General features: G+C 45.1%; 3 annotated features.

The window, feature by feature from the left end:
* Positions 1,580-2,491: an enhancer, noted in NCBI's record as "H3K4me1 hESC enhancer chr6:3579367-3580278 (GRCh37/hg19 assembly coordinates)". NCBI's record gives its function as "activates a minimal SCP1, AML or CMV promoter by ChIP-STARR-seq in naive H9 embryonic stem cells {active_cell/tissue: H9 hESC(naive)}" and the evidence as "EXISTENCE:reporter gene assay evidence [ECO:0000049][PMID:30033119]".
* Positions 12,536-13,038: an enhancer, noted in NCBI's record as "H3K4me1 hESC enhancer chr6:3568820-3569322 (GRCh37/hg19 assembly coordinates)". NCBI's record gives its function as "activates a minimal SCP1, AML or CMV promoter by ChIP-STARR-seq in primed H9 embryonic stem cells {active_cell/tissue: H9 hESC(primed)}" and the evidence as "EXISTENCE:reporter gene assay evidence [ECO:0000049][PMID:30033119]".
* Positions 18,154-18,653: an enhancer, noted in NCBI's record as "H3K4me1 hESC enhancer chr6:3563205-3563704 (GRCh37/hg19 assembly coordinates)". NCBI's record gives its function as "activates a minimal SCP1, AML or CMV promoter by ChIP-STARR-seq in naive H9 embryonic stem cells {active_cell/tissue: H9 hESC(naive)}" and the evidence as "EXISTENCE:reporter gene assay evidence [ECO:0000049][PMID:30033119]".

The following is a 24,884-nucleotide window of genomic DNA, read 5'->3' as shown; positions in this document are numbered from 1 at the left end:
CATAACTTTTTATAAGGAGCAAAACCATTCTCAGAACTCTCGCCAGCCTTGACTTCTGCTTATATCTTAATTGTTAGATCTACATCATAAGGCCTCTCGGAGATACAAGAAAAAGTAGGAAAACTAAGATTTCCCTTTGCAGTCTCGGAAGAGAAAGTCAGGCAGTGGAGAATGGGATTGGCAGTGGGCTCTGGGTTAGCTAACCAACAGTGGCTGACCTACCCAGCATTCACAGAGTTAGACAAATGACGAATTGGGGCGGGGAGGTGGGGGAATTACAGTGTCTGAAAGGAAATGAAGAGACACATTGCTGTATAAGAGTTCTTACAAATAAATATTAAAAATATTGGAAATTATAATAGAGTCTAAGGATGTTGTTAGATGTCAATTTACTAAGGGAAAAACCCAAATAGCCATTCAGTAGATGAGGAAAATGATTATTTCACCAGTAATCTAAGAAATACCAGCTTGGAAATTGACTAGGATTATAATGTTCAATGTTCTCTGTGGGCGAGGCACTCCAGGCATCTGCTAATGACAGCATGAACTAAAGGCTCTTGTTAATATGCGTCAATGATCTTTGCAAAGGTTCACGTCACTTGACATAGCATTTCCAAGAATTAGCCTAAAAAATATCTAGGAAAATATTTAAAGATACATACATGGATTTTTATCAAAACATTGTTTAAAATAGCAATAAACTTGAGGCAGTTGGTTAAATAAATTATGTTATCCACTAAAAATAATGCTATGGTTTTCTACCTACGGATGTGGAAAGGTCACGTGAAACATTGCTGAGTGGAAAAGCTACTTGATTTCTTAAACAAGGAACATGTAGTCTTTGCATCAGAAAGAAATTTTTTAAGTACAATAAAACTCCAGCTTTAGAAATCTTAACTTGCATGAATACTGTGTGGATATTTTCTTTGCGTGTTTTTGTGTTTTCCAGGCTTGATTCTTTAAACATACATTATTTCTTTTTATTGAAATGAAATTACATACAGTGGGACACACAGCTCTAAGTGTACAATTCAGTGAGTTTTTACAAATGTCTACACCCGGGTGAGCCACATGGCAATGAAGTTCCCTTGTGTCTCCTTCCAATCAATCCTCTCCCCATAGGCAACCCCTGTTGTGACTCACAGCATATATTATTTTTGTAATTTAATAAATGCTTAAAATTTAAATATAAGAAAATCCTCACAGGAGAACTTGTAACCAACATACGATAATTACAACAAACTTCAGATTGAGAAAATTTGGCATGAAAAATACTGTTAGTGTAGAATGGCAGACTTTTAAAAATGAGATATCTGTTATATTTTTTAAAGGATTTGCACTCTCATTATCCTTCATCAAACCCTTCTAATTTTTCTGCTGTCATAATGAAATATGTTTTCCATACAACATTATACACGTATATACCATTTAAAGATAGAATTCCAGGAAAGAGCCGATTTAAAGCCAGGCATTCACCTGGAAAAGTTAATTTCTTCCTCCTCATTTAAGAATGCCTCTTTTTGTGTGAGTAGGGGAGGGAGGCTCGTGAATGCCCAAAGACTTTGAATGAATGTTATTAGCAAAAATACACAAAGCTTCTGCCATCAGGGATCTCACAGCCCGGTTAAGGAGATAAGACTAAAGAAATTCGTGTGTAGCACAAGATAGCACATTATGTGAGACCCAGGTTAGGAAGAGAGTCAAGAGCCCTATTCTGCCCAACAGTTGTAAGGATTACAGAAACAGGAGGCTGTGAAAGCCTTTGTAAATCGCCTGCTGCTACCTGACACGTGTCCATTGTGGTTCTCACGGGGTCTGATGGAGAAGCCAAGGTGTTCATCGCTCAGTCTGATAAGTCTTGACCCTACCCCGCATCCTGACGGCCTGTATGCTCTGAAGGAGCACAATTTCATGAGGGGTAGAGAGGGACAAGAGAAGGAACATGAGGCCGGCGTGATCCGCCCAATCACAGAAGCCCAGTGCGGCCCGGAGTGAGGGGAAAGGCAGGCCAAGGAGGCAGCCCAGTGACCAAGGCCCCAAGGTGATATCCGTGTCCTGCTGTGAAGGGAAAAGAGCAGCCTGGTCTGAGAGTGCTGGGGACACGTCTTCTAGCATCTCCAGCAATAAGGATGGGGAGGAGGACAGCTCGACATGTCAAGCCTTGAGCTCACGGGCTGCCAGGGGCAACCATCATCTAAGCAAACTGTGGTCCTGCCGAGGGTGGGCAGGGCTTCTGTCACTCACAGGGATCGGGCAGGCAAGCCCCCTCCAAACCACTAATCTCCACACCCTGGCCAGCATCCTTCCCTTGGGGCTGAGGAGCCCAGGAAAAGTGGTGCTGTGTCCACCCCGACCAAGCAAAGCATCAGAACCCTGTGGGTTTTAATCCTTGGGAGCATTTTAACCCAGAGGCTTCCTGCTTGTGTAAACTTGTAAGGCCTGACACATTTATGCAGAATTTCTCCTGGTGTGAGAGAAGCAACCCACTCTTTCCAGGTGGCTTAGTATTAAACCTCAATGTGTTTTCCCCAGAACCCTCTTCCTGCAGTTTGCTTACATCTGAGTAGTGGAGGAACTTTTTATTCTTGTCCCCTCCAGACTTTCCCCAGAGAGCGTTCTTCCGTGGGCCCCATTCACCCAATTTTCAATACCCAGGCACACATTAGGACCTCTCAGAGCCTGCGCAATCTTCTAATAAATTTTGACCCTGTAAAAGTGCATGGCAAAAGAAGGTTTCTGCCCTGAAGGCCCTATGGGTGCTGCTATAGTCACGATTTTTGCAGCATGGGTCCCTTTAAAGCAAGCCCGGAGAAACCAAGCTGAGCACCAGAGCGAGCTCCCCGGCAGCAGCATGTCCACCCTCTGCAGACTCCTGCTCAAGTGCTTCCACAGCCCCCACATTCCTCAGTGAGGGAGGACACACACAAACCTCACTCCCAGGGAACGTGTGTGCTGGAGGCAAGAGCTCTCCTAGCGATGTCCTGACGTCTTGGTGTAGACTCGGTCCCCCAAAGCCCATCTGTCCTTCTAACGGCTCAGGTCACTGAGTCTCAGGCTGGGAGCAAAGGGGCGCTTCCAACGTGAGGCCCAGAGAGGCTTAAGTCGGGTAGGACCACCATCTGGATTGTCATATTTGCTGGTTGTCGATTCAGGATGGGAGAGGACCAAGAAGAGAACACAGGCGGGAGCTGGGAGGGTCGACGGCTCTCGGCCTCTGCTTCTTTCTATAACCCAGGAAGGTGGGCTGTTTCTAATGAGATAAAAAATACATCTATCGGCCAGGTGTGGTGACTCACGCCTTTAATCCCAGCACTTTGGGAGGCCGAGGCGGGTGGATCACGAGGTCAGGAGATCGATACCATCCTGGCTAACACGGTGAAACCCCGTCTCTAATAAAAACACAAAAAATTAGCCGGGCGTGGTGTCACGCGCCTGTAGTCCCAGCTACTCGGGAGGCTGAGGCAGGAGAATGGCGTGAACTCGGGAGGCGGAGCTTGCAGTGAGTCGAGATCGCGCCACTGCACCCCAACCTGGGCGACAGAGCAAGACTCCGTCTCAAAAAAAAAAAAAAAAAAAAAGCAACAAAAAACATCTATCCAGCTCTGACTGACTGTGTAACAAGCACATTGCTGAGCTCATTTCCATTTTTGTAAAATAAGAATGATAATACATACTTTGAAGGGTGGTTGTGAGAGAAAGAAAGTCTAATTTCTTTCTATTGCCTACTTCATTTCTCTTTTTCCCCTGATGGTCCCTTAATCTTATAACACAAAGAGCCTTTGAGCCTCTTACCTAGCTTAGGCCTTGGTTTCTACACAGCCAATTCTGACACCACTTCCCCCTCATCCTGTCCCCAAGGCCAAATAAGAGACGTTTGTCGAGAGGCTTCTGTTCAGTTCTGAGATCTGCATCTGTCAACTTGCTTTTGCAGATGCGTCTCCACTGTGGTCACGCTTTCAGGAGCAAGTTGAAGGTCTGAGGCCTTCAGCAGTCCTGTTTTTTCAGGGCATACGGGAGGAGATAGCCCTGCAGCCCCATCCCGCACTGAGCCCTCAGGCCCTGCAGGGGAGGGAGCTGGCTGTGGGGGCACGTTCCTCACTGTTGGCTAGAGTCAGGGATTTTCATTATGCCAGTATCTTCCAGCTAGACGGACTGTTTCATTAGAAGCATTAAAGCCATTTGATCTATTTATGATCATAGATTAGCTGTTGTAACAAAAATTACACAAGTATACTTTATTTTAAAGAAACTCAAAATAGAAAAAGCTGAATTTATAATAACCCCCATGATGCAATTTCTCATATTATTGGGAATTCTTCACCATAGAATTCCTCCATCAATACCTTTAAATCCAACAGAAGGATTGAGAGAGGAAGAACCTCATTTAGTTGGGTGGGCTTTAAACTGGACTCCCTGGAGCCATGGGGATTTTCTATAGACATGCCCCGGGGGACACCGCACTGAGCCCCGACACTTACAGCAATGGAAAACCAAACAACGAAAACCGAAAGCCAGCAACTCCACTGTCTGTTCTCTGTACCAGGCTTCGTGGATAAGGTTTGGTTTGAAGAACAGATTCTATGACTGAAATATTTTCAAAAACCGTGGACCCGGTCTAACAGCATTTGTTAAACAAATGAGGACCCCGAAGAACAGAGAAGGGAAGAGGTTTGCTCCAGAGTCAGATGTCGAATTTGCCTGCCCTGATCTCAGCCTAGTGTCTGCTAAATTTTCCAAATGCTGTCTTTTTGTGAGGGTTGGGGAAAATAAAAAGGGAGGAACAAAATTAAGCAGATGTGTATATTTTAAAACATCAGTAACTATCTGGAGATCCATCATAAATGAAGAGAGAGGATCACTAAATATGCTACATAATTTCACGAACATTGCTTGGGAATAGCAATGGAAAGCTCTGAAAGTCTGAAGAGATTATTTTAAAGGGATAAATGTAAAGTTTTTAAGTATATACAATGAAGTACAGAGGTCCTTATAGCACATACTAATTTTTTTTTTTTGAGATGGAGTTTCGCTCTTGTCACCAAGGCTGGAGTGCAATGGTGCAATCCTGGGTCACGGCAACCTCCGCCTCCAGGTTCAAGTGATTCTTCTGCCTCAGCCTCCCGAGTAGCTGGGATTACAGGCGCCTGCCACCATGCTGGGCTAATTTTTGCATTTTTAGTAGAGACAGGGTTTCACCATGTTGGCCAGGCTGGTCTCGAACTCCTGACCTCAGGTAATCTTCCCGCCTCAGCCCCCCAAAGTGCTGGGATTACAGGCATAAGCCTGTAATTAATTGATGAGAATTCATTAAAATTTAGATCAATCACTGATGGACAGAAACTCTAAAGATTTTCAGAGTAACTTTTTTCTCTTAAACACATCAACCTTTTCCCCTTTCCATTGTTTGCTTATCATTTGCCTAACAGACTGCTTTTACACTTAATAGTCTAAAGGTAAATGTCAAACTATCTCCTGGCCAAATTATCAGGACGTTAGAATTTGTGGAAATTTACTCTATGCACATCTGCTACGGGGAACAGGGAGCAACCATTTTTTGTGTGGCGCCCTTATCTATAGAAACAATGTAAGTCACTCAACATTAGTCCATCAGCATCATTCTGGCTGCCCAAGTTTATGTGATCCCGTAAAGGAAGTACTGTCCCAGGCAGTGACAGTGGTCTGCGTGCCAGGTGCCCCCTACGGGATGACCTTGTTAGGCAAGGCCCTAGCTCCAGGCCATCTGGTCGACCCCACCTGCAGAGAGTGGATTGGAGACTATCCCAGAAGGGAGAGATGACGGCGGGGACATTAGGACAAGGCTCAGGGAGCTATGACTTGAGAACACTACAGTTCCAGCCACCAGAGACAGGGAAGAGGCAGAATCCCCCTTGCCTGGATCAAAGAGTGGTACTGACTCTGCAAGTCAAAGCAGCAAAAGAAATGGAAATAGAAAAATTCTATATGCTAGCAACTTTTCAGCCATATCTCTCTGAGCAGTAATTAAACTTGGAGTTGAATATCAAAAGAGAAAGGGTGCTATTGCTGTCCAACTGCATTTTGAGTGTCTTCGCGGCAAACCACTTGCATTTCCTGTTTCATGCATCACTGTGATGTTTCTAAAGAATTCCCTATGCCTTTGGACCGAGGATGATTATTCTAATGTAGGTAGGGCGCCAACTGGCTCTATGGAGTTTTCAGTCTCCACAGGGATTTTTTGAAAGCATATCTTTCAAGTTAAACACAGCAGGGAGCCAAGCTACAAGGGTCCATTTTTCCACCTGTGGTCACATTAAGGACCGCAGTAATTGGAACTTGACAAGAGCTCCTGGTTTCCACAGAACTAGGGGTAGGCACGTACATTGGCAACACTGTGTGTAAAGCTGTCCTCTCCTCTGTGTTCACCACACTGGAGTCTGTGGGGGCTGCAGCTGGTTGTGAATAATCCAAGACAAGGAATTGGCTGTGCTGCCCAGCACAAAAGGCTCACGACAAAACCTTGGTGGCCAAACTCTGAATTACTCCACGTGAGGCAAGATCCCCATCCTCATGGTGCCAGGGAGAGCAGCCCTTCCTGGGGGCTAATCCCTGTAGGTAGAGACCCTGCTGAGCTGGCCTGGCAGACCCCAGCAGGAGCCAGGGCCTGGGGGATCTGCACGTATTTCAACATCAAATGCACAAAGCGATTCCTTTCACAAATCAAACACTGGCTGCTGTGTCATCCTTCTTCAGGACAGGTTAAGATTCATCTAAGATTCCGAGGCAGTGAGGTGGGAGGGACACTGCCCATCAGGTGTTGGCTTTTTGTTTCATATCTCCCTCAGGTAATCCCTCCTTCACATTTGTCTTGTGCCACGCTGGAGACAGAGCATTTCTGTTTGCTGCCCTTGTCCCCAGTCCCTATCTGGCCTTGCTGACTACAAGAGGTTGGTTACCAGTGAGTCTGCTCCAGCCAGACTAGAGCAAACCCAGCAAGTGCAGAGCCCACTCTGCCCTCATGGAGATCAGTATCATCCAAGTCATCCCAGACAGCATCCAGAATCAGTCCCGGAGCAGGGCTCAGGTCGCCTCTAAAAAGACAGGCTGGCCGGGCGCGGTGGCTCACGCCTGTAATCGCAGCACTTTGGGAGGCCAAGGTGGCGGATCACGAGGTCAGGAGATCGAGACCATCCTGGCTAACACAGTGAAACCCCGTCTCCAATAAAAATACAAAAAATTAGCCGGGCGTGGTGGCGGGCACCTGTAGTCCCAGCTACTCAGGAGGCTGAGGCAGGAGAATGGCATGAACCCAGGAGGTGGAGCTTGCAGTGAGCCGAGATTGCACCACTGCAGGCTAGCCTGGCAACAGAGCAAGACTCTGTCTCAAAAAACAACAACAACAAAAAAAAAAAACAACAAAAAAAGACATGTTTCTAAATCCCATTCAATATGAGCAGCTGATGTGTTTAAGCAAAGCCTACCAAGAAAATAGGAGAATATCCAGATGTTTCCATGAGCAGGAGTCTTCATTCTGACACCATTTCCAGAGAGTTACCGCTTGCAGATCAGAACCAAAAATCCCTAGAGAGGAAAGCCTCTCCCCTTCTCATTTCAGATTCCACACAGCACACCTCGTCACCTCCTTCACACCCTGGCTCAGAGCTTTCCTCCTAGTGAGGCCTGTTCTAAGCACCCCATATAAAAGTGCCCCCCCCCACTCTCACCCACACGCCCACACATGCACCCATAAACACACACACATGCAGGAAACACACCCACATGCTCATCCAACATAATCCCAACACACGTACACACTCATACACACACACTTGCACACATATACACACTCACACAACACTCATACCACAGCCTTTCCAATCCCTCTTCTCTGTTCTACTTTTTCCCTTTTTTTAGCATTTCTGACCTGAAAAACTTCCTTATTTATTAAGTGTGTTGTTGATCACCTCACTCCTCACTGCTGAAATGAGGCTGACAGGAGTCCACGTTCTGTTCACTGATGTATGAGTGCCCAGAACTATGCCTGCCACGTGGAAGATGCTTCACCCATATTTGCGCAGTGACCTTCAGACAGAAAGAAACATGCAATTAGATTGTGATGGGTTTTCAATTAGTGAAGACATCTTACTACTAGATGATTTAAAAATAAAATACTAAAATATTTGCACAGGTTCACACTTCAGTTACCTTATTTAATACACTATTTATTCAGCAGCCTTCTCCTATGGGCTCTATTTAGGCTGCAAAGAAAAAGAGGGAGTGGAGAAAGGGAGGGTGACTGAGTTAGGGAGGATATAGGAAATCAAGAAGAGAGATCCCCCTTTATGTGAATCAGGAGGCTAAGACTGCCCTGTAGGGGCCAATTCTAATTTTGCAGAGCTGAGATCTCTTCCCCAGCCATTGCTGACCTGAAAATCCCTCACTGGGTTCTGGAGTTGCTGTGTATCATGCATTACTTGGTCTATAAAAGTGACCTCTCTGGGGCAGGATATTTCACAAAATTTGGGGGATTCAAATGTATTCGCAGTGACAGCTGCCTTTGACAAGGATCACTGGTCAGTAATAACTTCCTCGGATGTAGCATGACTGCGGGTGTAACGGGGATAGTCCTCAAAAGCCTGTCATCAAAAGAGACTCTCCCCGTCTTCCTAAAGGGGAAAACCAACGCCAACTTCAATTTGTTAAAACCAAAACAAACAAAAATGTCTTTAGGGCCCCAGTGCTGTCACACCACGCCTTTTCTCCTGGGTTAACTACTCAAGGGAAGGAGTGAAGAGGAGGCCATGAGACAGTGAGACAAATCCAGTTTTTAGAAACTGAGGCTTGCCCTAATGCTATCACTAAAACGGCTGTGTGTCTTTGGGAAAGGCATGCAACTTCTCTGATTTTCTCACCTCTAAAATGAGGGACTTGTGGGCAACATGGCGAGACCCCATCTCTACAGAAAATACAAAAATTAGCCGGGTGTGGTGGCACGTACACCTGTAGTCCCAGCTACTCGGGAGCTGAAGTGGGAGGATCACTTGAGCCATGATCACGCCACTGCACTCCAGCCTGGGCGACAGAGCGAGACTCTATCTCAAAAAACTACAAAATAAATGAGGGGCTTGGAAGTAATCCAAGAGCTTTGCTTCTCCCTGGAGCCAGTTTCTCAACCTCTGTTTCCTCAACTGTAAAATGGAAACAGAATTCCTTCCTCAAGTAGCACAACGCCAGCACACAGTAAGCACGTGGCTGGCTGTGGCTCCCTCTCCCTTTCCCTCGTTCTGCCAGTGCTGTGGGGGGTGTTAGTGTCATTGATTCCTGTTTCTCCCCAGTGCCTGTTGAGGGGTGCGGCGGGAGGTCCTAATGGAAGCTCTGTAGGGCACAGAGGAGTACTGAGGTGACCCCATGTATAAGGCTTCGGCCTTTGCACTCATTGCCAAAGGGTGGAGTTGGAAAGAAATGCTGCTGGGCAGCTATTCATCATCGCAGCCATCCTTCGTGGGCTCCTTCTCAACCCCAGCTATGCTAGAATGTGTCTCATCAAAGCCCCACAACAACCGTATGGGGCAGATGCAGTTGTCCTATTCTGCAGGCCCAGAAGGGCTGAGTAAACCGGAGGTCATGGAGACAGGATTCCGAGCAAGGCTCATTTCCCCCAGAGCCCGCATTCTTTCTCTGGCCCTTCTAGCTATGCAGTAAAAGTGGCTCTGGCTTTAGGCTGAGGAGAAGAGCCTCCTCTCCCAAGAGGCTCTGACCTCCACCGCGAACATCCAAATGATGTCTTAGCCAGGTCTTTTGCCAGCTGCTCAAAGGTGCCCTGTGGCCCAGGGTGGGCCATGCTAGGCATGACCAGCTCCAACTGTAGGTCACAGAGGCTGTGGCCAGCTTTCTCCTCTGCACTGGCGGCCACTGCCCGCATCTCAAACACCTGAGCAGCAGCAACACCATCTCCACTTTGGAACTTGTTAAAGATGCAAATTCCCAGCCTTGCTCCAGCCCTACTGAATCAGATTCTCTCACTAGCCCTCCAGGGAATTCTTGCACACGCTCAAGTTTGAGAGCCACTGATGTCTGACCCCATGCCCTGGATTACCGTAGCTCTAGGCTGTTGGAGCAGGAGAATCGAGCTCAGTCTTCTCACAGCCTATGGAGGTGCTGACTCCCTGTTTGGTGGAGAGCGATGGGCATGTGTGTGTGGGTGGAGGGGGAGATAAGGAGAAGGTTCTATTTCCAGCAAGAACAAGATGTTTCTTCCACCAGAATTAGCACAAGACAGCCCGAGCCCAGCCAAGGTAAGCCAAAAAGTCCCCAGGGGAGGTTCAAACCCAGGGAGTTCATGGGCAGACACCAAGTGCTGCAGACCAGAGAGGGGTCAAAGGGAGAGCCACGGGCCAAGGAGCAAAGAGCCGTGACACCCAGCAAGGTGGCAAGCACAGCCACAGACAGATCTGGGCCACCTGCTGCCCAGGAGGTGGCCGCAGGGTACACAGCATATCCATCGGCTTGGTGGAGCCGAGCCAGGGCAGGCAGGACACCTGCCTAGGCACATCAAGAAAAGGGTGGCTGCATCTGCCCCTCTGTCATTCATCTACTACAGAGAAAAACAAGGCAGTCCTTCCTGGTCCTAGGGTGGCTATATAGCTGGGAATGGGCAGGGCTGCTTGGGGAGTTAGGGTGAAGGTAGGGAATGCTTGGGAACGTCACGCCAGGGCCCCTTTGCCAGAATTCCTCACATTAAGATGACAGATAACCAGCAACGTCACTTTCAGCAGACAGTTTCTGCGATAATGGAAGCCACAATTGTTACCATCAGATGTAATTAATCTTCAGACCAATAATGAAATGCATTGATGAGCTTGTTAGTTTCTCCATATAGTGCAATAAGAGTGTTTGAACTCAGCAGATGTTTATCTTCTGCCAGAGGACAACCCCTTCCCATTCTTCCAGAGTAGGAATAATGTGAGAACAACCCACTTCACGGTCCACACCACAGGCCAAGACGAGAGGAGGAGGGGCTCCTGCCTATGACCCAGAGGAGCAGAATGACCACCCACCCCTGAAGGGCTCGCTAACCCCTCCTCATATCAGGGGGTGAGGAGAGTGCTGCAAAGCACTTTTAAGTGCATTTTTGTGATCACTCCTTTGTCATTTCTCTATGGCAGAATCTGCCACAACGTAACCCGTGCGAATGAGTACAGGGAGATCACAGATTGCAAGGAGGGTGCTGTCAAGGCAAGGAGCTTCTCCTAGGAGACTTCCCTGCTTCATTTTATGAGAAAATAAAAGACTTGTGTTAAGAAATTGAATTACTTTTATATTTTATACTGGTGTGTTGAATATAATTTATTAAAATGCTTCTATTTCAAGAAAAGCTGAAATGAAACGTGATTCCCTAACGAATCAAATTTAGATAACTAATTTGATATTGGCAGAGGAGAATGGCCAGGAAGATGGTGTTATGTAATTTTTTTATGACAAAAAGGGCAGCAGATGTGGGTAGAGCAGGAGAGAGGAGGATCTGCAGCAGATGTGGAGGGAGAGGAGAGGGAGGGAGGGGACAAGGAGGGAGGGTGCCAGAAAGGGAAGAAGGAGGAAAGGGAGAGGGAGGGAGAGTGCAGGAGAGGAGAGAGGGAGGGAAGGGAGTGGGAGGGAGAGTGCCACAGAGGGGAGAGTGCAGGAGGGTGCCAGGGAGGCGAGAGGGGGTGCCAGGGAGGGGAGAGGGAGGGAGGATGGGAGCCAGAATTCAGGGAGGTGGGCACATGCTTGTTGCCCCTTGAGCACTCTTGATGTCCAAAGATGAATGCTGTGTGTTTACAATGTCTAGAATTTCTTTTCTAGGCTGGAAACTTCAGCGAACAAAGATTTTAATGAGCAGAAAGCTGAAGACCTGAACTGATCTTAAAACTTCTACTGTGGTGCCCTTCAAACCATTCTCCACACTTCAGCAAGAAGGATCCTATAAAAACCCAAATGTTATCCCCATATCCTTACTCTACTTAAAACTTCACTTTTCTCAGAACATAGCCCCATCATGAAGCAACGCATGACTCTGTGTGTGTGTGTGTGTGTAGATAAATGAAGCAAAAGTATGATTTGATTTGAATGATTAGGAAAAGTTGCACCATTTTCAGTGTCTTTAATTTTTCTTTCTCCTTTGACGCTTGAGGCCTTAAGGAGAACATCTTTTCTAATTGTTTCTGACGTACTATATGATGTTTATAATAGTCTCTTATTAATTAAATGCAGGTCTCAGCCGTATACGCGGCTCACCACGACTGAGTCTGCACACTGGAAAGCGCTGAGCACAGGGTCTGGAGCACAGTGTGTCTTTAATAAATGTCAGCTTCCTTTCCCTTACTTTCTCCTGACAAATATTATGACTTTGTTTTATTGAAAGTAGACATCTCAGAATACAAGAATATCATCCATTTTGAGAAATGGAGCAGAGCTTCCTTTGCAGTCGGCTGTATTGAATGAGATGACCAGTGTCTGCCTTTGTTGATAAGAGAGTAGGTGCTGCAGTTCAAGGTGCCCCGGCCTCTCTTGACCCCTTTAAAAGGTTTCCTGATGTTTACCCCAGTGATTTAGACAGGTAGCCAAGAGCGATTTCTGAGCAACAAAGAACTGTCCTGTCAAGGGGCTTATTGCCTGTTCACTGCTTTCTAATAAAACATCCAGTGTGGAGGCTTAGATGCCCTGAGGTACAGAGAGAGAATTCCCCTTATAAGGGAAAGGACTCTGCTGATAAACAGCAGGGTCAAAAGAATGCCAGCTCACGGATTCAAGCTTCATCAGAGGCCTCCTGGACAGCCTCACCCTGTGGACATGGTTGTTGTTCTGTTGCTTACTGAGGATGTGTTTCCCAATTTTATACAGGAGTGGACGAGCTCAGATGTACAATGCACTTCCACCCTGTGAGCCTGGATTACATATAGCAAGGCCATGTTGCAGAGCCCTCGCCAGGTTGGGAGCCTCAGACTCGTGAATTCAGCACAATGGGACTGCCAATTACCCATATGGGATGCTGAAACACCCAGGAGCTCAGACCCAGAGCAGGCTTGGCAGCCCCTCCCCTGGGTGGCCACTACCCAGCCTGCCTGCCTCCCCCGAGGGGGCACTGGTGGCCATCTGGCAGCTCCCTCTGAGCTGTCACCCAGTCTGTTTTGTCTTTTGTCTGGATGTGACATGACAACGTGTTAATTAAAAGGTAGTTAAGCCAAAATGAAAAGGCAATCCAAAACCTGGGGAAATATTATAATTCATATGAGAAAAAAGACAACTCAATAAAGAAAGAAAGTACAATGAACACACATAAGCAGTTATTAAAAAGGAGTACAAATAAATGGCCAATAGCATATTTTTAAGATAATCAACCTCACTAATAATCAGAGAAATTCACACTGAAACAAGATCCTTGGGAGTAGAACAGAAGAGGTTAAGTATTGCAGGAGACTGACAGATGACAAAGACAGAAAACACAGAGTGGTCCTGGGTGTGGCAGCCAGTGACCAACTACCACTGGAGAGAGTGGAGAGCTATGGCTTTTCTAAAAGGAAATGGGCAGCATGTTTTTAAAATGCAGACACAGTAGGACCCATAAATTACACTTCTAGGAATTTATCTTAAAGAAGCAACTGGACAAGTGTGCAAAACATAACAACACAGCCACATATGCCTCAGTCTTGGTTACAACCGTGGAAATGAGAAGAGCACACATATCTAGTAGGGAATCAGTTAAATAAAGCGTGTTAGATAATATACCAATGCAATAAAATTATATATTATGAGAAACATGAAGCGCTTTGATGTAGAAATATGTTCATAATATACTCAGAGAAAAAAGCCATTATGAAACTCCATATTTCATTGAATACTACACACCATCAATGATAAGATACACACTACATTATGTACCACTAAGGGGAGAAAAGGTTTGCACTTACATAACAGGCCAGCTATAAGGAAACAAATTAGTCAAGGTGCCCCTAAAACTCCTTCACCTTCCTTCAGAGTGCAACACTTTTGAATAGTGTTTGTGTTTAGCAGTGTTGCTGTTCATGCTTTTCCATGTAGTATGGTCTCTGTATCAGCAAGAGCCTTGGTCATAGCGTAGTTCTTAAAAGGGTGCTCAGTGTTTTCTTCTGAGATTGATTCCCATTTTCCAAGTTCTGATGTGTAGCTGAGAGGATGACAACGACTATAAGGGCCACAGCAATTGTAAACTCGGTCCCACTTTCAGTGGTGTGGAAATGTGAAAATAATACGTGAATTTCAGAATCATTCAATGATCACAGTGAATATAGTATAGCCACTCCCGTGTGATCAATTTGGACAGCCTTTGTCTTGTCCCCAGTTACTGGGAGGAAGCCTCTAAATCCTTGGAATTTCCCCAGTGATACGATTGTCTTTGTTACTTATGGTGGGCCCTGATAGTTTATGCTAATGAGGTGATCTGGGGGCCCCTAGATAGTTTAAGTTAAGGAGATGGCTCAGGCTGGGGCTGGCCATGCCAGAAAGGCTAACCATGATTGAAGGTTGGGGCTTTGCGTCACATGGTGTCAGCCCAACCTACAGAGAGAGATGGTGGCTGGAGACCTAGTTCAACCCTGTGGCCAGTGACTCAGTCATGCTTACTTAATGAACCCACGAAACAAAAACTGTTTTGAAAATGTAGACTTAAAATGAAGCAACGTCTGTCCATCTGTGTGTCCATCCTCAGTAGGAATTCGGTCACTACAGGACATGGGTGGTGCGTTAGCCTGTTTTGCATGGCCGTAACCGAATACCTGAGACTGGATAATTGATAATAAAAGAGGTTTATGTGGCTCACGGTTCTGCAGGCTGTACGAGCATGGCTCTGGCCTCTGCTTCTGGGGAGGCCTCAGGAAGTTTTCCTCATGGCGGAAGGCAGAGGGAGACGAGGTATGTCACATGGAGAGAGAGAGCAAGACAGAGATGCCAGCCTCTTTAAAAATATCAGATCTCCAGGTAACTGATAGAGTGAGAACTCACTCACTACCTCGGGGAGGGCACCAAGCCATTCATTAAGGACCTGCCCATGACCCACACACCTCTCACCAGGCCCCACCTCCAACACCAGGGACCACATTTCCACATGAGATTTGGAGGGGACAGATATCCAAACTATATCAGGTGGAAACTTCACTTTTTGGTTAAAGACAAGATTGTTTCTGAAAAATAAAATTCATCCCAAATCATTAAAACTACTTACTCCGAACAGTATTATTTTTAAAATTTCTAACTTAAAAAAACCTGCCCAATGCCCAAAGAAGAACAAATCGAACTGTGTTCTGAGGTCATTCAGTCACAGGCCTTAATCCTGACTGCTGCAGGGAGTCCCTTTTAGGAGAGAGAACAGCAGATATCTCACGCCTGTGGCTCGGGGGTGGGAGGGGAGGAACACAGCTCTGAGCCGTGGCCTCTGTCCACCAACAGGAAGCATCACGATGGCCTTGCACACACTTGCTCGGACTGCGTCTCCTGCCACCGATCCCACTTCACCTGCTGTTTCTAACCCGCCATGGATGGGAAACGGAATAGCCACACTTATAACTGAAACAAGGGTGAGCAGGCCCCATGTGAGGTCCTGAGGGGCCCTCCCATCGTGGGATTCCTTAGGACGTTTGTGCCAGTGGTCTCCGTTTTGCCTCCTCAGCAATCTGGACTCTGCACTCTCAGTAACACTCCTAAGTGTTGAAGCAGCCATGAGACGACCTTCACATAGCTGGGTCAGTGTGTGCATTCAGCACAGGCGCCTGCAACCTGCAATAGGCCTCTCTGCATCATGCACCATGCACCATGCAGGATTGCATACACGCGCATGCACACACACACACACACACACACACACACACACACACTCCCCACCTCTCTGAACAGTAGCTAAACCTGTTAACCTGTTCCATTCAAAAAACAACATTAGGTTCATTGAAGTTTGTAAATTACAGAGTAGGGCTGAAGTGGTTGCCTTCGTCATTAAAGCAAAAATCAATGAATCACCTGTACTGTCCCCATAAAAGGAAGCCTTTAGTTTTCTAGGAACGTGTAAGGTCAAGGGCCTGCAAGCTTGAAATGCCCTGTGTGTTGCCAGCAGCGACTCCTTCAAGGCTGGCAAATATCTATGAATGCAAATACCTGTGCTCTGCTGAGCAGGTAAAGGTCACAGGCTTTCAAGTGCTCTGGTACACAGTGACCCCACCAGTCTCTCATCAAGAGCTAAAGTTTATTTTCCTTCCTCTTTAATCTGGACTGGCCCAGTGGCCTATTCAACCAAAAGATTAGCACAGAAGTGAAACTTTGTAACTTCTAAGATTAGGACTTAAGAGATGTGCAGCTCCTACCTTTGCCGTTTGAAATGCTCTTTCTAGGAACCCAGCTACCATGCTGTGAGGAAGCCCAAGGAACCACATGGAAACGCTCATGTGGAGAACTAAAACCACCAGCAGACGGTCCCAGCTGAGCTCCCAGCTAATGGGCAGCACCAACTTGCCAGCAAGTGATTGAGATCATTTGGGACTTCAACTTATCCCAGTGCCCCAGCAACATAAAACAGAAGAAACTCCTAGTCCATCCACAAAACCATGAGATCTAGCCACTAAGTTTTGGTGTGGTTGCTGAAACTGATTTAAGTGGCTAAAATTATTCAGGGACACAGAAAATGTACTGGGGATTTTTCTGCTATTGTGGTCTGTGTTGCAATCCTTTATACCACCATGTAGCTTTTATGCACACCTGGAGGTGTTTCCCATGCTTCGCTGTATTAGTCCGTTCTGGCATTGCTATAAGGAACTACCTGAGACGGGGTAATTTATGAAGAAAAGAGGTTTAATTCACTCACAGTTCCGCAGAGTGCACCGGAAGCATGGCGGGCAAGGCTTCAGGAAACTTACAATCATAGCAGAAGGTGAAGGGGAACCAGGCACATCTTCATATGGCGGAGGAGGAGAGAGAGAGTGAAGGGGGAGGTGCTACATACTTTCAAACAACCAGATCTCATGAGAACTCTATCACGAGACAGCTCTAGGGGGATGATGCTAGACCATTAAAAACTACCCCCATGAGGCCGGGCGCGGTGGCTCATGCCTGTAATCCCAGCACTTTGGGAGGCCGAGGCGGGCGGATCACAAGGTCAGGAGATCGAGACCATCCTGGATAACAGGGTGAACCCCATCTCTACCAAAAATACAAAAAAAAAAAAAAAATTAGCCGGGCGTGGTGGCGGGCGCCTGTAGTCCCAGTTACTCGGGAGGCTGAGGCAGGAGAATGGCGTGAACCCAGGAGGTGGAGTTTGCAGAGAGCCGAGATCCCGCCACTGCACTCCAGCCTGGGCGACAGAGCGAGACTCCATCTCAAAACAAACAAACAAACAAAACAAAACAAAAACAACTACCCCCATGATCCAATCACCTCCCACCAGGCTCCTCCAACACTGGGGACTATAATTCAACATGAGGTTTGGGTGGAGACACAGAGCCAAACCACATCACCCACCATAACTGACACTTTGACAAGGCTGTGGCGAGCTCTCTCCCTGCCAGGGTCACAACTGTCTTTTCTATTTTCCAAAAGGGCACATTCTTCTCCAGATGGCAGCCCTTTTTCTGAGGAAATTGGGGGAAATTCTCCAAACCTGGACCATTATTTTTCCTTCACTTTTTCTTCTTGAACACCTTGCCTCTCTCCTCCTTTCCCGTGCTCATCTCAGGAAGTTTCCTGATCCCTCAGCTCATGGAAGCCCTGTCTTCACCCAGATGGTCCACCATACTATCCCCCTGCCTGTCACTTGATGTCAGAGCCCTACTTCTGGGGGTCCTGCTGCTATGATACACCGATCAAAACCAAGACTACCAACGGTGAGGCTCTTTCCCTCCTCAGGATGAGGGCTGTAATTGTCCAGACATTCCCCACATAGGTGAGGTGCAACTTTCACCTCCATCTTTAAGAGTCCAGTGTCCTGGATCTCTGCTCACAGCCCAAAGTCTCCTCACCATGCTCCCAGGAGGCCTAGCCCAGCAGGTCCTCAGGTAAATGAAACTCCGGGTGGTTTCTTTGGTATCCAGGGTTTCTGAGTGCAGTATTAGACCCACATTCCACACCTACTGGATTGTTACAAGATTACTACAGATAAGCCATTTGTTTAAATGCCACCATATGATAAATTAATAATGAAGTAGGCTAATAATTAGATTTACAATGGCATATGTTTTCCAGTGATTTGCTTGGTCTACACACACACACACACACACACACACACACACACACTCACTTTCCTGTTACTCGCGTTGCTCCCTGCTGTCTTCTCACCGTTTAGCACATAGGGTATTAAGCATACTTTTCATTTTCTGTATTTCAGGCTTTGTCATCTGCAGCCGTGCTGACCCTGGAGGGACTGCCTCTTCAGGATTAGCCAGTTCTAGAGATAGCAAACAGCTCACCCAAGAGTGCAGTTTTCAAATACAAACCAACCAATCCAGAGAGCCCACACCTCAACCACCTCCATTATTGGGATCTCACATATGGGCCACTATCCACCTGCACCAGTGCACCAGTCACCCTGGGGCCAGGTTCCAGACAACTTGGGGGAGCTCTTCTGCCCCAGAGCTACTGAAATTATTCAGACCAAAACAGTACTGAGCCTGTGCACCCTGCCTTGCCTCGTCTTCCTGCAGAAGCCGCTGTGCAGGCTCCTGCCCTGGGCTTACCCTCTACTCCTGCCTCCGGATGGACCCGGTGCCTCACTGTGCCTCTACCCTCCACCCCCATTGCATGGCGTGGCCCCTCCTCTTGGAACTGTGAGTGACAAACTCTCTTTTCAATTGCAGGCAGCTCCTGATGTGTTGACCTTCCCAGGCCTCAGATTCCCTATAAATACATTATGTTTTAAATTGCACAGTACCTGGAACTTTGTAGCTGCTCAATAAATATATGATGAATGAATGTACCAAATGAAATAGCTGGAAGATTTCAGAGTTTCAGGCATATGAGTACCTAACCTCTCTCTCTTTCCCTCTAATGTCTTCATTATGATATTGTGATTCAGGATGAAGCTTCTGGAGCCACAGTGCCCTCGTAGCAGTGTGACGTGGGCATATTTCCCGGCTCTCTGTACCTCAGTTTTCTTGCCTATAAAACCTGAAAAATAATAAAAATTACCTGACAGCGTTGTTGTGAGGAGTAAACAGCTCACATTTACAAAGCTTTTAAAATGGTGTCTGGCCCACACTAAAGTGCTTAAAACACCAGCTTTCATTATAATTCCCCGCAAACCATTTCTCTGCTCCTCCTGCTAATGTCTTGTAGGCAGAGTTGGCTTCCACCTTATAGACTGTCCTGGGTCTTCCTGAGCCCCAGAAGACTCATTTCTTCAGCCCAATCAGTGCCAATGATTAGAGTTATGGAAAATATAGGGGAGAAAAACCTATCAATAATAAACCAGAAATTTTTTTCCAGACAGAAGGTAGGTAATGCCATTTGTTATCATTTTACTCTCAGATTACTACAGAATTTAGCCCATGTGGGTCTAGAGTTATCTTTTAAACTCATAAAAGGAAGAAAGAAAAAAAAACAGAAATGCAAGTTCCTCTCAAAAAAAAAAAAAAAAAAGCATCCATACATCAACAGAAGTTACTGCAGGCTTCATCCAGGCCTCTAGGGAGCTCTGTTCATCTCACACAGGCCCTCTCACCTCTCACAGGCATTAAACAAGCTGCGTTATGTCCCAGGGGAATGCTTTGTCAACCCAGTGAGGATGTTTGGGTACAAATTCTACTGTGCTGGGCTGAAAAGGGAAGGAGAGTTCTCCTTCCTGAGAAAACAACAGAGAAACTGGGGAAAGAACAAAGGAAAATGTGAAGCAAAAATAAAGTCCAAACTTGGTGCAAAACAGGAAGGGATTTTAAGACCGAATGTTTTCTTTCGCTCTGGTCATTTCCAGTGCAGTGAGAAAGCATCAGCCTCGGCCTGGATTTTAAGATTTAAAGGTTTTATATGATAGAGAAAGGCTGTTTCTCTCCCTGTGTCTTTCTCTTTTTCTGTCTTTCTGAATAAACAAACAAAAGAGAGTGGAGGGGCAGATGTGGCCTAAATCATTCACCCTGAGTGATGGAAGAGAGAGGTTAAGGCACCTGCACATAAATACACTAGTATATTCGACCCCTGTGTTCCAGGCAAAGTTATTTTCTGGTGTCATGTATTTGAGGTCCTCAGAAATAAAGAACATGCCTTTTTTGCTCATCTGTGAGTTTTTTGTTTGTTTGTTTGTTTGTTTGTTTTTGCCTAGCATGAATCCTGGTTGAAAGTAGGTACTCAACAAATGGCAAGAAATGGATGCAAAGAAGGGGGGATGGATGGATAAATTAGTGGATGAGTAGGTGGGTGGGTGGGTGGATGGATGGATGGGTGGATGGATGGATAGATGAATAGATTAGCCCTAAGAATTATCTGGGAGATAAACAAATGAGTATCAATACTTCATTCTGAATAATCAACAGCTCACTGAATGGTCCTTCCTTTCAACCATCCTCATGAGGACCTTTTAAACTTAGGTAGGCCCAGAGTCTCAAAAACATGAACTCAAATGAATTTTAATGACCTTGGCAATGGAGCTGAATTTCTAATTTTCACTGATGGCCAAAGCCAAAAAAATCTTGGGCCCAACTTGGATTGGCACCATGTCCAATGGTAACCAGGGGCCAAGAAAGAGCCATTAGTAAAACAGCAGAAACATTCCAGCATCTCATCATTTTCTGTTGACAACCTTGACCTTAAAGCATTAACCAATCTTTCCCCTGTGATTCCAGCAGATCTGAGACTTAGATTCAATTTTTATTTACCAGAGATTTGCTTGATAGAGATTCTAGTAGTCCATCAACCCAATGTCCATTCTCCCCTTCTTTCTTAAAAAAAAAACAAAAACAAAACAAAACAAAAAACAACAACAAAAAAAAAAACACAAAGAAAAAAGCCCTTCAATTTGTTTGGGATGAGAGGCAGTGAGACACAGCTGAAAAACATTTTCAATAACACTTACAGCTAGGGATGGTCAGTTAAGTGAAGAAAAATAAATCTTTAATTGGTTTAAGACACTGTTTTTCAGAGATTTGTTACTTGCAGTCAAACCCATTTCCTAACTGACACTCCTTCTATACTGGGTAATCAGTTTGAAAAGATGCCTTGACAGAAGGAGACATTCTAGCAAAGTCCAGGAAACTAAACAAGCAAATCAAGTGCCTAGAAGTTAATGGACTGGTTTATCACCTTGGAAGCTAATACAGGCAAGGACAGCGTGAGTGCTGTCTCATCCACAGGAGTTACCTTGGAAGGCAATACCAGCATTTCCCAAGATATATTTGAACCTTGTTTTTGAACTGTCTTCTAAAGTAATTTATAGGCTACACAAGTTCATTTTCCTTTGCACTCTCATCCCATTTGGGATCAATGTTAGCATCGCCAACTTGATAACTCATCTCATTGACCAGAAATGGCTTCATTCTAGATGACTTTTGACTATTTCAACAAATCAAATATTCCTTCAGAAGAAGGACTTTTGTCACCATGGAGATTATTAAAATGAAATTACATGGAGGCTGATTCTAGTTCCCCTGTCAGTCTTCTCCCTCTTCCCTATACAAGATAGGACAATAGGAAGCTGCCAGGGGAGAGCCTTCCCACAGGAACCCCTGTCCCCTACACTGCCACCAAAATCAAGATTTGCCTGTTGGTCTCCTACCCCATGGCCACTCTATATCTGAGTTAGTTCCCCCAGCTCTGACCCTGTCTTGTCTTGTCTTTGATGACCTCTCAGTATGACTCAAGCTGGGCACAGCTGGGATACAACAAAGGTTCAGGAAAGTGCTGTAGAGCTGGACCTGGCCAGGACCAGGAGACAGTGGCATCCACGGAGCAGGGCAGAGCCCATTTGCAGACATCACTGTGCCCTGTCACAGGTGTGAGTAGTCCTAGGAACAAGCCAAGAGAGGTTTGTTATCTGGGGAATGCTTCTGAAGAACCGCCAAACCAGGAGGAAGAAGACAGCCAAGTCCAGGAAACTGAGCAGATAAGTCGAGTGCCTAGAAGTTAATGGACAGGTTGATCATGTTAGAAGGTTAAACTGGAGAGGAAGGAACTAGGGGAACCACTGCATACTGCAAATTGTGGATGGGCTGAAGGCTGATTCAAGAACATAACTTGAATTCCATGCTAGCTCAAATAGAGGAAGCCCCTGATAGCGTACATCTTCCCCTGATTACAGCTAAGAGCTCCTGTTAACTCCAAAGAGTAAGCAAGAGAAATTTGAGAAAAGAAGTTGAAACTTGAGGAATGACCAATATAGTGTTTTTTTCTTTTTCTTTTTCTTTTTCTTTTTCTTTTTTTTTTTTCCTTTTTTATCTCCTGGCTTTGACCCAAGGATGAGCCAGAGGGTTAGAACTACACAGAGGGCATGGACAGCAAAAACTCTGCCTGCAACCCACTCCCTCCAGCCAGAAAGCCAGGAAAAGGGATCCCTAGGAGCCTGAGAGTGCAGGAGGATTCCCCTTCTTGTCTTTCTTTTTTATTTTTTTCTCATTTTTCTTGTCTACCTCTGCCCCAAGGTCAGCCTCAGTTGCAAAGCAATACTGTTTCTGCCTCCACAGCATGGGCATATAAAACCTGAGGAGAAAATTTGTCTCTCTGTCCACAGGAACCACAAAAAGGGGGCCCCTGAGAAATGGAATGTGCTGAGGGGGCGTCACCTCACTGGGTGAGAGCTGGAGACAGGCATCCCCCAACTCTGAGAATGGACCTACCTAAGTCCCAGGCTCACCCTTGAGATGCGCATGCATGGAGCAGACCTTGAAGACCATGAAGAAGCATTTAGCAAGAGCTTTGAAAACTGAGCTACAATCTAAACCCTAGCCTGAGAACGTCCAGAGGAGACCATGAGTGGCACACACACGTGGTGCTTACGAAGCACAGCAAAGGGCTTTGGAATCGGAATGGACATTGATCTGCCAGCCACAAGAGGCTAGTCAGAAATTGGAGTCTGAGGCTAACCAGTTTGTCCATCAAAACAAAAAGAACGATGCTGAAGAGAGAATTTTTTTAATAGACTTTATTTTTTACAACATAGTATTCTCCTATACCCCACACCCAATTTCCCTTATTATTAACATCTTACACTAGTCTGGTACATTCGTTATAATCAATGAATCAATACGGACACACTATTTTTAACTAAAATTCATAGTTTATTTGGATTTCCTTGGTTTTTACCTTTCTTTGTTCCAGGATCCCATCCACAGCACGTTGTATTTAGTCTCAACTGTGACAGCTTATTTCATGCTTTCTTGTTTGGTATGACCGCGGTTTTGAGGAGTACTGGTTTGGGTATTTTGTAGAATGTTTGCAGAATGTCCCTAGCAATTGAAATTTGTCTGATATTTGTCTCATGATTACACTGGGAATAGGAGTTGCTTGGGAATTATTTGAGGTAAAATTAACATAACATAAAAGAAGCAATTTTAAAGTGTGCTATTCAGTGGCATTAGGTACATTCACAATGTGTGCCAACATCACGTCAATTGAGTTTCAAAACATTTTCATTACCACGAAAGGAAAACCTGTACCCGCTAAGCAGTCACTCCTATTCCCCACTCCTCCCCATCCCCAGAAGTCATCAATCTGTTTTCTCTATATATAGGTTTACCCATTCCAGATATTTCATATAAATGGATTGTACAATATATGATCTTTTGTGTCTGAATTCTTTCACTTAGCAGTGTTTTTGCAATTTATCCATGTCATATGGATAAATAAAACATGGATAAACATATATTTGTACCTCATTGCTTTTTATGGTTTTATTTTTATTAAATGAATATCGCATATATTGTGTACCCATTCAACTGATGAAAGACATTTAGGTTGTTTCCATGTTTTGGCTGTTGTGAATGGTGCTGTTAAGAAAATTAGTGTCTACGTTTTTATTTAAACACCTGTTTCCCATTCTTTGAGGTATATACCTAGGAGTAGAATTGCTGGGTCATATGGTAACTCCATATTTAACATTTTGAAGAACTGCCAAACTGTTTTCCAAAGCAGCTGTGCTGTTTTACATTCCCACCCACAATATGTGAGGGTTCCAGTTTCTCTGTGTCTTTGACACTTGTTATTGTCTGTCCGTTTTTAATGAATGTGAAGTTGTATTTCATTGTGGTTTTGATGTTTCCTAATAGCTAACAACGTCAAGTGTCTTTCTTGTGCTAATTGGCCATTTGTATATCTTTTTAAAGAAATGTCTATTCAAGTTATTTGCTTACTTTCTAATTGGGTTGTTTGGTTTATGGTTTATTTGTTAATTGATTTATTTTTATTATATGTATGTAAGGTATGCAACATGATATTTTGATATGCATAATACACAGTAAAATGATTACTAAAGTCAAGCAAATTAACATATCCATCACTTCACATAGTTACCTTTTTCTGTGGTAAAGTACCTAAAATTTTGTCTTTTAGCAAATGTCCAGTGTACAATACAATATTATTAACTATGATCACCATGCTGTACACACATCTCTAGATTTAGTCATTCTACACAACTATAACTTTGCACCCTTGATCTATGTCTCTCCATTTCCTACACACACACACACACACACACACACACACACACACACACAGGGTAGCCACAGTTCTATTTTCTGTTTAAATGTAGGTGAATTTTCTGGGTTTCTTAAAAACGTTTCCTTTAGATTCCATGTACAGGTGAAATCACACAGTATTTTTGTTCCTATGCCTAGCTTTTTCACTTAGAATAATGTCCTCTAGGTTCAGCTCTTTACACATTCCGGATAATAAACCCTTATCAGATACATACTTTGCAAATATTTTCTCTTATTTGTCGG

This window comes from Homo sapiens, chromosome 6 (assembly GCF_000001405.40).
Source record: "Homo sapiens chromosome 6, GRCh38.p14 Primary Assembly".
In the NCBI taxonomy this organism is placed as follows: domain Eukaryota; kingdom Metazoa; phylum Chordata; class Mammalia; order Primates; family Hominidae; genus Homo; species Homo sapiens.
This window is presented reverse-complemented; position numbering and strand designations above follow the sequence as displayed.